This window comes from Homo sapiens, chromosome 2 (genome assembly GCF_000001405.40).
Source record: "Homo sapiens chromosome 2, GRCh38.p14 Primary Assembly".
Taxonomy (NCBI): domain Eukaryota; kingdom Metazoa; phylum Chordata; class Mammalia; order Primates; family Hominidae; genus Homo; species Homo sapiens.
In genome coordinates, this window is record NC_000002.12 from 175,797,888 (window position 1) to 175,818,305 (window position 20,418).

The following is a 20,418-nucleotide window of genomic DNA, read 5'->3' on the forward strand; positions in this document are numbered from 1 at the left end:
TCTCCCATTTGGAATGGCTGTATTTACCCAATGCCTGTATCCCCATTGTATCTAGGAAGTGACTAACTTGCTTTTGATTTTGCAGGCTCGTAGGTGGAAGGAAATTGCCTTGTCTCAGCTGAGACTTTGGACAGTGGACTTTTGAGTTAATGCTGAAATGAGTTAAGATTTTGGGGGACTGTTGAGAAGGCATGATTGGTTTTCAAATGTGAGGACATGAGATTTGGGAGGGGCCAGGTATCGAAGGATATGGCTTGACTGTGTCTGCACCCAAGTCTCATCTTGAATTCCCATATATTGTGTGAGGGACCCAGTGGGAGGTGATTGAATCATGGGGACAGGTCTTTCTCATGCTGTCTCACAATAGTGAATAAGTCTCACAAGATCTGATGGTTTTAAAAAGGGGAGTTTCCCTGTAAAAGCTCTCTTGCCTTGTCTGCCACCATGTGAGATGTGGCTTTCACCTTCCACCATGATTGTGAGGCCTCCCCAGTCATGTGGAACTGTGAGTCCATTAAACCTCTTTCTTTTGTAAATTCCCCAATCTTGGGTATGTCTTTATCAGCAGCATGAAAACAGACTAATAGAAATGGTCACATGGAGATGCTCAGGTCAGTAGTCCCAGCTAAGCCCATTCTTCAGTCACCCCAATCAGATGCCAAACATATGAGTAAAAAAGTCATCTTGGAAGTAGATCCCCCAGCCCTAACTATTCCATCCCCAGCAATTTGAGATACACCTAATTATAAGAGACATCTCAGATGTTATGAAACAGAGAAGAGCCCTTTGCCTTTTCTGAATTCTTGACTCACAGAATCCATGAGCATAATAAAATGGTTATTCTATATCACTAGGTTCTGAGAAGGTTTGTTACGCCTCTCCCTAGGAATGAAGGAAGAGGAAAATGAGTTAGAGGACAAAGCATAAAAATCCACTGTTCTCCTGATCACCCAGAAGCCAACAATTGGGATCCATCCTGAAAAGGCAAATGAGATATCTCCTGCATGACCTTCAACTTAGGTGATAGAACCCCAAAGTCTTCACTGGTTCACACCCGTAGACCTGGGTCCTCTGAGCCACTTTGGGGCTTGCCTTACCATATATAGCACAACACTGAGAATCCAGCTGTAGTGATACTCAGAAACTGACACCATTATTCTAATTTTACCCATAAGACAAACCTTTGCGAAAAAGGATGTCCTGCAGAGTGCCCTGGATCAGATGATCCAGGAAACGTCACTATAGAAATGCCAAGCATCTTGGTAGCATCAAGCATTCCAATTTCTATGGGGCAGTACTGCTACAAGGTTTGATTAATACTGGTATACCACTAGGCAACTTGGATTTCTATGACATCTCTCCTCTCGGAAGTGTGCTGGTGTGCAATAACTTGAGGCTTACAGTGAATTAAGGGCTGTGAACTTGCTGACATACACTGGCAGCCAGGATGGGATCAGTCCACAGGAAGAGAAAGAAAAGCAAATCTTCTTCCCTGCTGTAAATGATCCCTCTGCCATTGGGAGTTCTCAAGTCTTTGTTAACCCATGTTTGCTAAGACCCTTGGCCAATGTCGTTAAAACCAAATGCTAGTTAAAACCAAAACCCATACCCTGTTTAACCCATTAGTGGGTGTTCTTGAAATACAGTCTCGCATTACCTAACAATGACATGTTCTGAGAAATGTGTAGTTAGGTGATTTTGTCATTGTGTGAACCTCATATAGTGTACTTACACGAACCTAGATGGTACAGCCTACTACACACCTACACTATAAGATATAGCCAGTTGCTCCTAGGCTACAAACCTGCACAGCATGTTACCACACTGAATACTGTAGACAATTCTAACACAATGAACAGAAAATGTGCAGTGAAAATACAGTATTACAGTCTTACAAGACCACCCTCATATATGTGGTCTAACATTGACCAACACATCATTATGCGATGCATGACTATATATTATACAACTACAATTTTTAAAATTGTAAATGAATTTATTCTGAAGATCAAACTAGATTTGCTCAATACTCGGTAAGTCTTGCAATAGCCTTTGGCCAAATGCAGTAAAGACTAGACCAAGGTTTATTGATGGAATGAGAGAGCAAATGAGAAGAAGCTTTAACATTCACATAATTAGATTTTATTTAGAAATGCTTATATCTGTTAAAATCATCGTCAAAAGGTAGCTAATTTTGTTGAAACTTGACTGACAGAATATGCTTTTCCTTACCAAGTGGTTGAAGTTTAAAGTTTCCAATGCCCACTAGTAATCTTTCCTCAGCCCTGCCTCCCCGTGCCACCACTCCACCGACCTCTTTGCTGGAAAGATTCCGTGTTTAATATTTTCTTTCATTGTAAACTGCATGCCTATCAAGCTTTGGGACTCATTTCAATATTGATGTAAGTAAAGCAGATCTGAGAAATAAAGGCCCAAAGGCAATTCTCAAGAATCCGTGAAAAGGTAATTTATCCAAGGAACAGTTCATTGTTTTTTTCTTTGTTTGTTTTTGTTTTTGTTTTTTGAGATGGAGTCTTGCTCTGTCACTCAGGGTAGAGTGCAGTGGCATGCTCACTACAACCTCTGCCTTCTGGGTTCAAGCGATTCTCTGGCCTCAGCCTCCTGAGTAGCTGGGATTACAGGTGCCCCCCACCACACCCAGCTAATTTTTGTATTTTTAGTAGAGACGGGGTTTCACCATCTTGGCCAGGCTGGTCTTGAACTCCTGACCTCATGATCCACCCGCCTCGGCCTCCCAAACTGCTGGGATTACAGGTGTGAGCCACTGCTCCCGGCCAGTCATTAGAAATCATTAGATTTTCTTAATGCAGTGGGATACTTTCCAGATGACAAAATCCACTAAATAGACAACAGGATAGATTGTGAAATGCATAGTTCTAAATGATAGCTTCACATTAAGTGGGAGACTTTCAGTATGATTGGAACTGATATTATCTAGTACTCCCAAGGTGTTTGAAATGATACAGTCCAGCCCTCTATCCCGTGACTAGTCCATCAGTAAACTTTATCTTGAATATTTTGATTTTGAGTTCCACTGACACTCTCCCATCACTAAATATTACCTACATACTTCACACCCTTTAACATCAGCATTGAAATACTAAGATTTACAGAAAGTCCCTTTTGCCTTAGGATATTTCTTAGAGTTATAGATTCTCTTCCTAAACATCCAGTTAAGTATAAGGCAAGAACCTATCAGCTAATACCGCTTTCAAAATTTTTTAAAAGGTATTTTCCAAATAATACTTCTGATTTTACCAACTTATAACTACTCTGGAAAAATTACTTTCTTTTGCTTAAAACTTTAAAATGAAATTCCTTTTAGATATCTTTTCCTTTTAGATTATTTCTTATGACCCTTTAAAGCAGCAATCTGCAACCTATCTGGCACCAGGGACTGGTTTTGTGGAAGACAATTTTTCTATGGATCAGGGTGGGTCGGGGGTGGGGAATATTTTGGGATGAAACTATTCCACTTCAGATCATCAGACATTAATTAAATTCTCATAAGAAGCGTGCAACCTAGATCTCTCGCATGCGTAGTTTACAATAGGGTTGGTGCTCCTATGAGAATCTAATGTGGCTACTGAAGTGACAGGAGGTGGAGCTCAGGCGGGAATGCTCTCTTGCCCGCCACTCCCCTCCTGCTCTGCGACCCGGTTCCTAATAGGCTGTGGACCAGTACCGGTCTGTGGCCCAGGGGTTGGGGACCCCTGCTTTAAAGGTGAAGGGCAGAACAGGCTAGTCCTATATCTACTAATTAGCCCACAAACAGATTCTTAATGGAACCACAGTTAGAGCAGTAATCCTTATAAAACAGAAGGTTTGGGTATTAGTGCTGGGTTTACCCCTAACTGCCTGACCTTGGATGAATCACGTCACCTCTTTGGACTTCAGTTTCCTCATCTACAAAATCAAGGTCAAAACAGAAGATCTTGCAAGTTGTTTCTTTTCAGCACAGATATTAGTTGTGCTTGAGTATTTATAATTCTTTAACTCTTGCTCTAATGTGTGTGTCATCCACTTCAGTAATTCAACAAGCCGTGACTTACTGAGCCACTGCAAAATGGAAAACACATGCTTGACACTATACGTGATACTGAAGTGACAGATGCAGAACCTCCACTTGGGGAACCCCAATTTAGCTGGGAAGATAGGACCAAGACATGAAGTTGTATGATGTCACCACACAATGTACAAGTTGGCACCAGTGTCAATCTTTGACTGCTCAGCTGCAGATTTTGAAGGCCTCCCAACAGCTCACCCTTTCTAAACCAGGAGACAATGAGAAACAAGCTTAGCAATGTATTAAAGGACAGATCCTCACTAGTTCGGTATATAATCCTGAAGTGGATATCCTGAACCCCACTCCCCTGCCACAGACACCCATATGCCTTCAATTAAACACTGCACAATCCATATGATAGTTTTTTTCTACTCTGTTTTCTCATGAATTTTATCAGTTAGTGTGCAGGCTAAGGTGCTCTATCAGAATCCCACAAATTGGAGTCACTTAAATTAGAAGTTTAACTACTTCTAATGTAATAATGGTCCAGAAGCTGGTAGGGTAGTTCTATTGTCCTCTACACCTGGCTTGCATTTCTGGACCCAAGAGAGCTGTCTCAATTTCATACATTACTATGGTGATGGCAATGATGATGGCAAAGTGTGAAAACGGTGATGGCAAATGGTGATGGCAAAGCAATGGTGATGGCAAAGCAATGGTGATGGCAAAATAACTTGAATGCCGCAATCTTGAAGAGTCAGTATGGTGTTTAGGTAAAGAAATTATCGAGGGCTTTGAATTTATTTAAGTAACCAAAATCAAGCCTATCTCGGTGCTTCTCCCCACAATTGTGTAACCCAGAGTGTTTTCATAGATGTGTTCCTAATTTTCTCTAAGAACTTGTTGTTCTGCTGATGAAGAACATTTGAAGTGGAAAAGCACAGAGCCTCAAGACAGCAAAACTGGGGGTTGAGGGAAACTCCGAGGTAGTGTAAATGATACAACCATACTGAAATGCAGCCAAGAAGTTTGCATTAAGAGATTTGCTGCTGTTTGGGCAGAAAGAAGACTGATATTTGCATTCAGCCTCTCCTCATGTGTTGTGTAGTGGGATTGTTTTTAAGCTTGAAAATACTTTAACAGGCTGTTTCCAAGGTAAAAACTTAGAAGTCCCAACCTCTGTTGAAGAAGGAAGGAGGGGGGACAGCTTGTAGAGAGATGCAAATAGACACTTCAAAGTTAATAACATTCACAGTCCCTAGTAAGTCAAAAGGGGAAATGTGGAGAGAACAGAGGTAGTCATCTGCAACATTCAAAGATCTGGGGAAATTGGGTCTAGATGAAATCATCCTGATAGTGGAGTGTATCTTTTGGGGCTACCTCAGAGAAAAGGACATTACACCTTATAGCTCCAGACTGAATGTATGTGATAATGAATTCATGAGCTTGAGAATGTGCCTATGACATTTCTTCTACTATAAACTTAATACTTATATAAATGGGATGTTTTCAGAGCCACAGGAGGGAAAGTAAGACAGAGCAGCTCAGCAAGTGGAAACAAGCTGCTTACCTTACATATCTATATTTTTCTTTGTGAAATGGCATAAAGTATCCTGTTCCATAATCGAATTCCTTCAAAGTCTTTTTAAAGCAAAGTTTTCCCCAAATATTTATATGGAAAAAAATGTGCTTATAACCAAATAGAATGTAATTCTAATCAGAGTTTCCTCCAAACTAAGTTGGTCTTTCCAATACTAAGTTTCTTCTTCCAGTCATTAGAGTCAAGCACAAGATACACTGGTTTTTCCTAACCTCTGTATATCTAAAAAGCTTAAAACAACAACAATAAAAACATACACATACTTCTGTATTATTGATATCCTAATCAAATCTGTTTGTTCAGAGATCAAGCCAGATTGATACATTAAATGTTAACATAAAATTTATGATCATTTGGGCTTAGATTTACAAATCCTAAACTTGGTGATAAATATAAATTTATCTCACTTTTTGAGAGATTTATTTCCAAAAATTATATGATGAACATGTTATCTTAAATACTCTAACTGAAATGTGTGGTGTATTATCCGGAGTGAATAATTGCACCTAAAAACTGTATGTTCACAGATAGGTTTTCTGAAAGCAAGCTGCAGATGCACATAGAGAAGGTAGAAACTGGCCTCTGCCCCCTCACTCTGAAGCTCATGTTGAAGCCACCTCCCTAGATAGTGACACAGAGCAGCAAGCGTGCTGAAACACTAGCTCCTTTCTATTCCATTTCTCCATCCAGTGTTTAGCCAAGAACCACTTCTCAACAAAGTGCTTTGTTGCCCAAGCTCTATCACTAAGCACCACTGAGCCTCCAGCTGGGTAACCTCTCTAGACTTTCTCCTTTTATGTTTAAAGCGTGTGCTCAGAGGTGGACCCTACGCTATCAGGCTTCACTTCCACAGTATCAGGTTCACTGCGATTCTCTTTCAAGGCTGAAGTCACTGTAATAACCTACTCCAGAGATCTACTTGGCACTCAAGCAACTCAGAAATTTAAGGAACAATGCTTTCGTTCTGAGTACTGTGATTTTGTTTCAACAAAGCTCCCAGACTGAGCTCTCTTTCTCATTTTCAGGTGAGGAGGGCCTTGTGTCTCCACCATTTACAAATCTCAGATTTGAAGATTGCACATGAGTAAGCCAGGCTGTGATCCATACTCTCATCTCAGTGAACACTTGCTGTTTACAGAGGGCAAGCTGCTTTTGTGTGATTCAAAGCATTACTAATTAAAACCTGTTACCATCCTAAGGGCAGATATATTCTCCTCTGGAGCAGCATTTGTCTGTCCCATTAGCATTAATGGGAGTAGCACAAGTGCATCAAGAGGAGAATGGTCCCCTTGGGTCTTTGAACTTAACTCTACTTCAAAACTGAAACCGATATATACAATGGTATCATTGATGCCATTAAAAATCATTATACTTTACTGCAACTTTTATAAAAGTAATTGTAAGCTTCATGAAATATACTTGGCTCCTGGGAGTTGTGCATTATTAGGCTGCGACTGGACATGATACAGTAAATTACACTATAATACTTGAAAAATATTTTGGCCAGGGGAATTTACTAGAGCCCAGTCCAGCTTATGCAGAGGTCTATGTTCATAAAGACAATTAGCTTGGGTAGATTTGAAAGGCACATGTAATTCTTTGCTAAAATTTAGGGAAAGGTCTGGCAAAAGATGCAACTTAGTGTCTATGTTTACAGTAATATGTCTTAATGGGCTGCTATAAAATACCATCACCTTGTGTCTCTGTAATATTCTTCATTTGCATAGTCTTAAATGCTTTACTGGTATTATAGAGCTGATGTTCCAATTATTTGAGAGAGAGAAAGAGGAGGCATTTTTTTCCAGACTGTGAAACTGAGGCTTAGAGAAGCCCCGTGGTGACCAGGGTGAGGGACGAATAAAAAGGGAGGATTCAGGTGTCTACCTGACATGCCAATCTAAAGGATTAAACTAGTGGAGAGCCAGGGCAGGAATGGCCTCCATTTCCAAGCTAGAGGCCCTGGTCTGCATAATTAGCTGTTGCATTCACTGTCATGGGATGCAGCTGAATTTAACGGCCTGGATTGGTGACCTCATTAGCTATGAGAACATGAGCAAATTTAACAGTTTCCTAGTATGTAAAATAGAGATTACAAAGTACCTATTTTGTGGGGTTGTTCTGAAGATTAAACAATTTAATGCACATAAACCTCTAAATAGTATCTGGCACATAGTAAGCACTCAATAAATGTGAGTCATCCTCGTTAACCTTTAAGCCAGCCAGGGCTGTGTTATCTATAGGGAAATAGTGCACAGAGAAGGTTGATTGGCAGAGAGAACCACATCCTTTACTTCTAATCTTCCCGGAAACCAGTTCCATGTTACTCTATTGCGTCACCAAAGTCCCATGGGCTTAGAGCTTCAGACCCTCTAAAACTATAAGTTGCCTGGGAAAAGCAATGCATCATTCCCAGTGTCTGACATGTGTGCCACAATGCACTTAACTTCATCAGGTCCTTTCCTGAGAATAGAGGAGACAGATCGTGTTCCCTGGACCCTGCAAAGAAGGGGTGGACCAAAAAGCCAAGGTTGGCACCTACATCCTAGCCTAGAGCCAGCTCTGACCTCAGGGTTGTCCCTGCTGGCCTATATATAGTTAGCCACTGATTCCCTCACTAGTAAGTTGTGTCTGCAACTTCTGAATCTGCCTAGTGTCACCCGAACCAGAACTCCAGTGGTCTGAGGTCTTTTCAGTAAAGGAACATTCGGTCACAGCTCTGGAGGTGCTGCAGGCTGGAATACCAGGGCTGCCAGAAATGCTTCTTTCCATTGTTTCGTGTGTGTGGCTGCCTGGCCAGTCCTGGGACAGGAAGAAGAGTACCAAGGGAGGCCTCTCCTGTCCTTTAAGTCCAAGCAGTTAATTTGTCTTCTCTATCCTCCCACGCCATTCTACTGAGCTCTAACACATCTCACATTTTACTGAAATTATCTATGGTTTTGTCCACTGGACTGTAAACTTCCAAAGGAGAGAGACGACATTTTATTTATCTTTGTTCTAGTACAGTGCCAATATTAGTGGACACTCAAATATTTATTAAATACAAAACTTCTTGGCAAAGGAGTTTGCCAAATCATCTCTTGGAACCATGAGTTTTAAAAGCACTCCCACAGTTCTTAATTCAGGTTCGAGTATTGTAAGTCTATTCCTCGGTGTTCTTACAGGAGATTTGATTTGCTTCAAAGTTGCCTTCAGATTCCTTAGCTATCGAGCAATAACATAAATGCTACATTGAACATTTTTTTCTTATTTTTAAATGTCAGCAAATAATAAACTAAGCTTGTTTTTGCTTTTTAAATATAATGAAAGTAAAATGAGACCACCAGATCAATTTTGCAGATTATTTTTATATCTCTGGGATTTAAGCAAACTAACAAAAACTGTGGTCCCCAGAAAGCTTAAGAAGAGTTTGAAACCACAGACTTAATAAGTTTTTTTTATAACTATTTAGCATCTCAATTAACCTTATCAACTCTCTTTCATTCCACTGGCAATTTTCTGACCTCCAAGTTGAAGACTTGAGCCCTGAATTCTGCTCATGGGTGAGTAATCACAGCAAGCCCATAGCAGAACCTATCCTCAAACCACAAATATATCATCTTCAGCATTGTAAATCAAAGCCTCAAAGAGCATCATTTAGCCTGCAGCTAAAATTGCTTGTTTATCAGATGGTGCCTGGTTTAGCGTGGAGCAGTCCCTTGTAAATCTCTGGGACCTTTTACAGCATATACTTAAGCAAGCACATCGCCTCCTGGGAGGCTTTCTAAGAGTTTTAATGACTGTGGGCTGCTGAAAGATCCAGGCCTTGGTTTAGCTAAAGTGGCTAGGGGTACAGTTTGGCTCCATTTTGTAAACTCACAAAGATAAGGCGTCTGCCTGCTCCAAAGTGAGAGTGAGCATTTGTTTTTCAGGAAATCTTTATATCCAAAGTGTTAATGTTCTTGTGGCTTTGGCTATTTTGACCTTTTGTCTGCTAACTTTTGATTTACTGAGGGAGAGAGTTCTTTTTCTAGGCTTTATTGCCACTCTGGAAAGACAATGAAATGCATGTGATTCTGCAAAATTACATGAAAAAAACTGATTTTGGATTAACACTGTACACATCACACACAATGGTAATGGAGTCCCACTCCCTGCCCCCACAGCCTCTCTTTAGTTACATTTAAAAGTAAATATGTGCCCATGCTTCTGCCACAGAGCAATTAATGTGTCCACCGCAGACCCTGCTGGTGACTTGCTCACCTCAGCATTTTCTTTCTAAGAAAGAGAACAGTTTATAGATTCTGGCCGTGTAGCTAAAGGTAGCAAAGGGAAATTGTCCACCAAATTCCCATTGGTTTAAAAACCTAGCTACTTGCTGAAGTCATGAATAGCTTATTGACTGAATGTACCACCAAGGACCCCGGCAGCCCACCAGCTACTTTACTGATAGACAGTGGAAGAGCCCTGATGAAATTCACTAATTAAAGAAATCTTTACATGGTTCTTTCTTATATACCCCATCTCTTTGATACAAGTTAATTAAAGTACTCTTCAAAACCTTCACCTGACATGGAAAAAGTTCCCTAGAGAGTTGGAGGAGAAGCAAAGCACATTTCAGGGGCTCTTCACTTGTTTTCAGGCAATGATAAATTGTTTTCATGTTAATTTTATAGCTACCATGGTCTAGGTTTTGAAAATCAGCCTATTTTTCCTAATACCGTGCTCCCTTCTCACAAGCCAAAGATTAATGTTTTTGCCTTTGCCCCATTAACACATATTTTTAGCTTTTATGACAAGTATTGTATACTTATCCTCAGGAGTCCCCAGCTTGAATGCCCTTCATCAGAATGATGCCTAGTGGGGAACAGCTTATCTGTAGTAGTGTGCTTGTTTGGAAAACAGTAAAACTACTAGCAAAACCCTCCAAAATTAAAAAATAAAACACAAAACATGCTTCCTGAAAATTTACTTTATATATTTATTCCTCCAAAACCAGGTCCGAGAGACAGTTTGTAATATTCAGACAAATTAGAAGACAGATGATGCTAGTGAGTTTTTGATTTTTTTTTTCATAAAAGGTGGTATAGTACCATTCCTCTTTCCTGGTGACCACATTTTTAGCCCCTACTATAACCCCTACATGGCAAGGTATATGATAGGAGAGGCTTCTTGGAGTATAACATTACACAATACTTATTTCATTCATTAATTTTATGCAAAATAACATTTATTGAGCATCTATTATGCATGATGCTAGGCCCTGGGACAAAATTTTCCTATTCTCATTAAAGCATCTAGTCTAGTAAAAGAGTGCATCCATTAATAAAATAATAACAAAAAATGTGAAATCACAATTTGGGTAAGAGCTATGAAGAAGAGATACAGAATACTGCAAAAGAAGACTCCACCTAGTTTAAAAAGTCAAAAAAAAGCTCACCTGAGAAAATAATACTGGAATCAGAAACATAAATGAGAGTTATCTAGGCAAAGAAGGGAGGAAAGAACATTTCTAACAGGGAGAATAGCATGTGCAAAGGCCCTGTGGAAGGAGGGAACTTAGAGGAGGCCAGTCTGACTGAAGAGGAAACCTCAGAAAGGAGTATGGTGAGTTTGAGATTGGACCTTACTTCTTAGTCCATATTAAGGGTTTTGCATTTATCTTATGTGCAATAGGAATCACTGAAGCATTCTAAGCAGAATGTGATTCTAAGCAGAGTAACATACCCAAGGCTGCATTTGGAAATGATCGCAATAGCTACATTTAGAAAAGATTGCAATAGCTACAGGGTAGAAAAGAGATTTAGGGCAGCCAGGACTCATTCTGGAGAGATGAGTTAAGAGGCAATTGCAAGGACAAAGGTGGTGATGTTGGAAATTAAGGGAGAAGTAGACAGATTTGAGAAATATTTAGAGATAAAATCAATAGGACTTAGTGAGTGGACATCCAAGGTGATAGGAAAGAGAAGTGTCAGGAATGACTCCTATGCTTCTGTTGTGCATAACTGAATGGCTGGTGGTGTTATTTAGTATCCTTGAGGAGACTGGAAAAGGACCAGGTTTGGGGATGGTAAAGAGTTTGAGACATGGTAGATTTGAAGTGGCTCCAGAATATCTAGAAATATTAGGTAGGCATTGGATAAACTGGCGTGGAGCTCTCAGGGCTCTCTGAGCTAGAAATATAAATCATGAGACGTCCATGTGGGGATGGCCACTGAGGCTAAATGCATTAGTTTCTTAGGGCTGACATAACAAATTACCACAAATATGGTGACTTAAAACAACAGAAATTTATAGTCTAATCATTTTTGAGGCTAAAAGTCTTCAGGAACACTATTGCTTCTTCCAGCTTGTGGTGGCTGCCAGCAATCCTTGGCCTTCCTTGGCCTGTAGCTGCATCACTCCAATCTCTGCCTCTGTCATCACATCACCTTCCCCTCTTTTGTGTGCCTTCTCTTCTGTCTGTGTTTCTCTGTTTGTCTCTCACAAGACACTCTTCGTTGAGTTTAGGGCCCATCTGTATAATCCAGAATGGTCTCACCTTGAGATCCTTAACATTAAATTACATCTGCAAAGAACTTTTTCCCAAATAAGGTCTCATTTATAGGTTCTAGGGGTTAGGATATAAACGTATGTTTCAGCCCACTACAGCATGCACATGCTAATAAATGAGATCACTCAAGGAGACAACAGAGTGGAAAAAGAAAAGGGCCTAAGACTGTGCCTGGAGGAATTCTAATGTTTATTCAGTGTGCCATGTAGAATTCCACTGCGTAGCAACAAAGGCCATTGACTAAAAAGTTTCTTTAGAACCATGCATGGTGGCTCATGCTTGTAATCCCAGCAACCTGGAGGGCCGAGGCCAGAGGATTGTGTGAGGCTAGGAGTTTAAGACCAGCCTGAGCAACATAGCAAGATCCCATCACTAAAATAATAAAAGATAAAAATAAATAAGTTGAAAGTTCCTTGGAAGTCTGAGATCATTATCAATTAAAAACTCCTGAAGTTTTCCATCTATTCATCATTCTCACCCGTTACCCACTTGTTCAAATACAGCCCCCTAAAATCTCTTTTCTCATATTCTTCTGCCCAGTATACTTAGCACTCAATTAGCACTCTCACTGATTGCTTTCTAAATGTTCGGCATGCATTAATCTTAGTATGCTCCCTGTGGACAGGTTCTGCATATTCTATTCCCTGGTATTTCCCCACGGCATTCAGTATAGGACTGGTCACATGACAAATATCCACTAGATATGTGTTGATTAGTAAGGGCTGTATTAGTTTTGCTATTATTATAATTAGTTTTCTGTTATTAATTTTCCAGTATTGCTATTAAATCACAATTTAGTGGATTAAAACAACATGAACTTATTACCTTATAGTTAATAAATCAGAAGCCCAGCGTAGGTCTCACTGCACTGGAAATCAGTGTGTGGACTGGACCAGGTGTGTTCCTTTCTGGAGATTGTAAGGGATAATCTGTTTCTTTACATTTTCCAGCCTTTGGATTCCTGCAACTTGCATTCCTCTACTTGTGGTCCCTTTCTCTTTCTTCAAAACCAGCAAAAGCAGGTCAGGCTCTTACATCTCAGCACCCAGATATCCTCTTCTAATTATTTGGAAACTTGTGATTTCATTCGACCTACCCTGATAAGCCAACATACCTTCTCTATTTTAAAGTCAGAGAATTAGCAATCTTAATGCCATCTGAAACCTAAATTTCTTTTGCCATGTAGGTAACAGTTCCACGGATTAAGATATGCACATCTTGGAGGAGGGCAGTCATTATTCTGCCTTCCTCAAGTTCATTCAAACTTACTAATTAAATTACACGGCCAACATGTTGGCCTTTGAACATAGGCTCTCAGGAAACAGATATTTCCTTCCCACTTCCATGAGCAGGAAGACTTCTAAACAAAAGAATGAAGAATGATTGCTTGACAATGACTAGTTATCAGACAGCAGAGAAAGAACAAGTGCTAACAGGGGGCTCCTGGCCCAGATTGTAGCTGTCTACTGAGCCTCCGTCTTGAAAACCCTGTGCCATTCAAGTTTCCTCAGCATTTACCACAAAGCTATGTGGTCAGGTACCGAGCAAATACAGTGACCATAAGATTTATCATCCTAATCAGGACACCATTAACAGTGAAAGGGGTATAACAGGTGTAAGCTGGGTGTGTGGTCACCCTAAAAGAGGTAGAGAGTGCAGTCAGAATGAAGAAAGTCCTTTTTACCTGGTAGTTAGGGCCAGGAAGGGTGAAGACTGTCTCATTTCTGCATGAGACACTTCTTTTTGTCCCTGGTCATTAGTTTGGGATCAATTCAGACACATGTGGAGTGCTGGGGTCTGGGACAGCTCTGCTCTGAGAACTGTCACCTTGGATTCTCCTTGCCTCACCCGTCAAAAGTTCAACACATTGCAAAATGCTTCTTTGCATTTAGATAGTGTCTTGTCTTGTCAAAGCACTTTGACACATTCCTTTGAAACTTCACAATAGTTACATGAGGCAGGACAGGAAGATGCACGTTGACCTTTCCATTTTGCAGAAGAAGAAGATGAAGCTGGATGCAGAGGAGTTGAGTGGCTTTCCCAAGGCCACAGAAATGTTTAAACCTGGAATCCAAACTACCTCAATCCTGGTCACAGTCCAAAGTTCTTTTTCCCACACTGCCATACTCTGGATGATTGATATCACCCCGTATTTGTAATCATATTAGTCAGAAGTCTGGAAGAACAAGCTAGCTTGCCATCACCTTCTCAAGGGCCTACTTGAGACTTCTGAGTCTTAAAGGAAAATGATATAAACATTGAGATGTCCTCTCTCCAGTTTGACTTTCAAATGGGCTAAAGAAACATTCAAAACATGTGTTCTTTGCCCTCTAGCTACTCTGGAGACAACTGTTCCCAACTCCATTCTCTAGCTGGTGGCTGCAGCAGCATCTTTGAATAAGGACAATGACACTTTTGATATATAAAATGTAATTTGCCTTCCTTTCATTAACAAACACTTTTCCAGAGAGCAAATTTCATAGCTCAGACAAATGTGAAAGTATTGCCTATCTGCCTGTGGATTATATAAATCTACACTGTCTCCTCCAGCAGGAGGTGATAAGAATTGATGGTTGTAAAGTGATACAAGATTAGTAGCACATTATAAATAAAGCTACCACTTTTTCATCATATAGGTTTAAATCAGGAGAGAAGACATAGGAAAAAATTTTATTCTGCCCTTAAAGCAACCAAATTTGTAGGTTTGAAAAGCAAGGAGCATTTCCTTCCATTGATTGTTTCCAAAATGCAAAAAGGAGGGGTGGTCATGGAGGGTGCCAGGGACTAACATTTAGGTTACGTTAGCAGAGTCAATAACTAAATTTGTGAGGACTGCTTTGCCAACATTGGAAGTTCAAACCGGGAGGAAGGGCTTGTAGGAAGCAGAGGTGATGTTGCATAAGAAGGCAAAATCAGACCAAATCTCTTAGTATTCACTGTTCACTGCCAATGTTTCCATTCATTCATACAAGACATATCCAGTGAATGCACACTGTGTTCCAGGCACCATTCTACATCCTAGTCAAAAAAAAAAAAAAAAAAAAGAAAAAGAAAACACCACTTAGAGTTTTTGAAATAGAGGGAGTTTAGAAAATGTGTCCAGTTGTGAAGAACATGAAAGCTTAATCCAAAATAATCAGGTCAAAAAATTCCAGATTCTGGGAAATTGTATAACGCCATTTGTTGGAGAAAATGTACCTGCAGGAGAGACTGGAAGAAGAATGGCCAGAGCTCTGGGTTCAAAGACAGCTCTGTCACCAGTCTCTGTGGTCTTATCTCTAAGAGGGGCGCGTACCTTCACAGTTTCACAATGACCCTCCCAGGCTGGTGTTTAAAGATTACAAGTTGCGGCCGGGCGCGGTGGCTCATGCCTGTAATCCCAGCACTTTGGGAGGCTGAGGCGGGCGGATCACCTGAGGTCCGGAGTTCGAGACCAGCCTGACCAACATGGAGAAACCCCGTCTCCACTAAAAATACAAAATTAGCCCAGCGTGGTCGCACATGCATGTAATCCCAGCTACTCCGGAGGCTGAGGCAGGAGAATGGCTTGAACCTGGGAGGTGGAGGTTGCTGTGAGCCGAGATCGTGCCGTTGCACTCCAGCCTGGGAAACAAGAGCGAAACTTCCTCTCAAAAAAAAAAAAAAAAAAAAAAAGAAAAAGAAAACACCACTTAGAGTTTTTGAAATAGAGGGAGTTTAGAAAATGTGTCCAGTTGTGAAGAACATGAAAGCTTAATCCAAAATAATCAGGTCAAAAAATTCCAGATTCTGGGAAATTGTATAACGCCATTTGTTGGAGAAAATGTACCTGCAGGAGAGACTGGAAGAAGAATGGCCAGAGCTCTGGGTTCAAAGACAGCTCTGTCACCAGTCTCTGTGGTCTTATCTCTAAGAGGGGCGCGTACCTTCACAGTTTCACAATGACCCTCCCAGGCTGGTGTTTAAAGATTACAAGTTGCGGCCGGGCGCGGTGGCTCATGCCTGTAATCCCAGCACTTTGGGAGGCTGAGGCGGGCGGATCACCTGAGGTCCGGAGTTCGAGACCAGCCTGACCAACATGGAGAAACCCCGTCTCCACTAAAAATACAAAATTAGCCCAGCGTGGTCGCACATGCATGTAATCCCAGCTACTCCGGAGGCTGAGGCAGGAGAATGGCTTGAACCTGGGAGGTGGAGGTTGCTGTGAGCCGAGATCGTGCCGTTGCACTCCAGCCTGGGAAACAAGAGCGAAACTTCCTCTCAAAAAAAAAAAAAAAAAAAAAAAAAAAAAAAAAAAAAAAAAAGATTACTAGTTGCTATGGCCGGTTCTGCTCATGGAAAATAGTGTTAGGAGAAATGGAGACCTACGTGATATAGAGAAAAGGGGACTATACTTAAAGATTTCAAGCAAAATGGTAAGTTTACTGGCTAACATGAAAAAGAACCAAATCATGTCCTTTGCAGCAACACGAGGCAGCTGGAGGCCATCATCCTAAGCAAATTAATGCATAAAATAGAAACAAAATATCCCATGTTCTCACTTATAAGTGAGAGCTAAACCCTAGGCACACCCAAACATAAAGATGGGAACACAGACACTGGGGACTCCAAAAGGAGGGAGGGAGGGAGGGGTAAGGCATACAAAACTTCCTGTGGGGTACCATGTTCACTCTCTGGGGACAGGATCAGTGGAAACCCAAACCTCAGCATCACACAATATACCCTTGTAACAAACCCCCACATGTACCCTCTGAATCTAAAATTTAAATTTAAAATTTTTAAAAAAGAATACAGGGAATGAAATAATTAGAATTGCCCACAATTAGTCATTTGTTTTATCTTATAGTACACACACAACAGACTCAGAATAAAAATACTAATCTACTATCAATAAGATTACTTAAGACATTAAAATAAATCTTTCTGCATATGTCAAAAAATAAGTTTGTTGGCTAAAATGTTTGAGTATTAGGATATTTAGATCTGGTGTATTTAAGCATCAGGAGGCTTATTATCTTAAACTGGTTCATACACAGTTCCAGCCCTAAATATACCCATAGCTCTTCCTCTTTCAAAGCCCGAGTTAACATCCTGCACCACAATTGTTCCATCCATGCCTCACCCTCTCTGGTTTTGCCTCTGTTCCTCCATGCCAGAGAACAGCTCATGAGTTGTCTGACGAGCACCTTTGAGTCTGGTCCTGTGGATTGTCTTCCCATTCCTGGCACGCCCCACATGACTACAGGATTCTGGTACTTTCTCTGTGCTGTTGCCTTTGCTCCCTCACCTCGCCACAATTCTGTCAGAGCCCTCCCCCTAATTCCCACTCATTCTTCAAGTCCTTTCTGCCCCTCCCAATCAGGACAAATCCCTTTGCCCTGTGGTCTCTCCCTTCTCTGACAGCCCCCACTTGCTCGCTTGTTTTCATTGGCTTTATGTCCATCTTCCCACTATACTAGAAGTTCTGTCAAGGCAAATGGCTCCAACCAGCTCTGCGTGTAGTCCATAGCAGCTGCACACTAGTCATGGGATGGAGTTCAGTCTGTGATAGGTGCCGCTCCTTTGTATTCTCAGGAAACCTGTGCTTAGCCCTGTTACAGCACATGCACACACACAACAATGTAGTCACCTTACTAGTCATTTTCCTCCTCTGAGGAGAGAGTGTATCTTTCATCTTTGTGTCCCTACTGCCTGCCCAGGCAACAGATATGAAGTAAATTCTTTAAGCCCAACATTAGTTCTTAAAAACTATGATTCATTCTGTGCTCATCTTAAGCAATAACAGTTGGCTTAACTATCAGATGAAGTAGGCCAAACATAAGCCATCTCTAAACTTAAGCCTTTCCATTCCAAAAGCTGGCACTATTATTCTTAATAGGACTGGACTCAAAGTGTGGTGAATGGTGCCCCCAAGACTGGGTGGCTCAGAATCGGTGTCAGGCCAAATTCTGCCATGGTGGCTGAATTTGATTCCTTATTCATCTGGGACTCATATGAAAAGTGCACATGCAAGCAGAAGAACTTTTTGGACACCTGCTCTGTGCTAGCATCATTTGTATCCAGAAGAATAAACAGTTGGTCTTTCCCACGCAAGTATTAAGCTTGGAAGACAGGACTAATCTACAGTGAAGGTCTGAAGCACAGGAAACATCTGAATACCATGTAACGTGCTGGAAATGAGGGAACGGCCATCATTTAAGTCATTACTGTGACTCTATAATGCCTCTGGGGAGACTGAAGAAATCACCTCTCCACTCCCAGGAGTCTTCTGTTCATGGTTTCAGCCAGGGGACTCCAGCTAATGCAGCTAATTCAGTTCCAGAGAAGCAGATGCAAGGCATTTTCCTCTCCTCCACTAGCATGAATTTGTTGGCCTTCTGATGTGGCCAATACTTGCCTTTAAAGTTAGCTTTCTAAAGAGACTTTATTTTACCAACCTTTGAAGATTTTAAAACATATATTTTCAAAATACAGTGATTTTGACAATGTCAAGTGTTGGCATGGATGTGGAGCACCTGGAACTCACATTTCTCATGAGAATACACAATGGTGTAACCACTTAGGAAAACAATTGGGCAATTTTTAAGAAAGTTAAACATAAACAATCCAGCAATCTCACTCCTAAGAATTTAACTAAGGAAAAAGAAAACATAAAGACTTGTACATGAATGTTCATACCAACACTATTCATAATAACGAATCTAGAAATAATCCAAATACTCATCTACAGGTGAATAGATTGTGGTATGAAAAATATAAAGGAACAAACCTCTGAAACACGCAATAGCACAGATGACTTTCAAAAACATCAAGCTGAGTGAAAGAAGTCAAACACATATTAATACTGATTTTATGATCTATTTACATGAAATTCCAGAAAAGGTAAAATCAATCAATAGTGGCAGAAAGCAAATCACTGATTGCCTGGGTGGGGTCAGGGCTGGGTGTTTACTGGGAAGCAGATGATGGAAATGTTAATGTTTTAATTATCATGGTGGTTATGCAATTATATAAAATTTTCAAGATTCATTTCACATTATATTGGTATTGTATGTAAATTATGCCTCAACAAAGTTTTGGGGGGTTTTTTAAAGAGTGAATTTTGGCTACCTTTAAAAAAGGCCTTTTAGTTTATAATTACCTTAGGACCAGAGATAATTTTTTAAAACTGAACAATAAATAAAGTCTGGGTCTGGAAACCCCCATTTATTACAGAAAACTTGCCTTTTGTTGTTAATGATTCATTTCCCACTCATCAGCTTTAAAACACGGCTTCTTTGGCAATCTAATGTTGAATAATTATCAGGAATGTGACCCAAATGTTTCATAAAGACTTCTCTAAAGAGTTATTGTAAAAGGGAGAGTTCCATTTATGAGAATATGAGTGAAGTGGAGTCATGATTAAAGGCGTCACATTGCACTCCCACATGACTGACAAGTTGGTACATCTGCATGAGTGATTCCATTCAGGAATTCATTTCTCTAGGAAATCTTCAAGAGGAAGTCATTGAACTGCCTCATCAATATTTAATCAGGTGGGTTCTTTACCTAGTTGATTGATTGAGTTCCTTTCAGGGAAATTCTGTCTTTAAATCACAAAACACCATGTTTTAAGAATGGTGGATGAAATTTTGCATGGTAGTTTTTATTAAGAAAGGCAAAATGCAGAAGTTAACAGCATGGGCTCTGAAAATATAGCTGCCTGGTCAACTCTGGGCTTCTCTTCTTATCAGTGATGTGACATTAGGCTACATAGTTAAACCCTCTAAGCCTCTGCTTCCTCCTGTGTAAAATGAGAATATAATATAGATATGCCTATAGGATTACTAGGTGGTCTCAGCGAGATATTACATTTAGCATGGTGCTAGGTACATGATTATATCCTTATTTTTTATTATTCTATTTATTAATTATTATTGTTAAAGAACTCAGAGTACTTCACAGATCATCCAAGCTTTAGCAAAGAATAGGTGACATAATGACTATTTAGCTACAAGAGAAAATGAAGAGAAACATATTATTTGACTTATTATGGGTTACATTAATTAATGAACCTAAGTCTCTGGGCTTTTCCTTAAACAGTCTGTCATTCAAATATTCAAACTTTGTTTTAAACATATTATTAAAATGAATATTAAATTAGCTTCACGACTGAGGGAGGAGAATCGCTTGAACCCAAGAGGTGGAAGTTGCAGTGAGCCAAGATCGTACCACTGAACTCCAGCCTGGGCGACAGAGTGAGACTCCGTCTCAAAAAAAAAAAAAAAAAAAATAGCTTCATGA

At 40.4% G+C, this 20,418-nt stretch overlaps 1 long non-coding RNA gene across 1 annotated transcript in view, besides 1 other annotated feature; it reads right to left on the minus strand.

Moving 5' to 3' along the window:
• The window catches only part of LOC107985962 (uncharacterized), a 243,604-nt gene that overhangs the window by 202,453 nt on the left and 20,733 nt on the right, over positions 1–20,418 (minus strand). The window lies entirely within an intron of this gene.
• Positions 19,780–19,980: a silencer, noted in NCBI's record as "peak3944 fragment used in MPRA reporter construct". NCBI's record gives its function as "represses an SCP1 promoter by STARR-seq MPRAs in K562 erythroleukemia cells {active_cell/tissue: K562}" and the evidence as "EXISTENCE:reporter gene assay evidence [ECO:0000049][PMID:32103011]".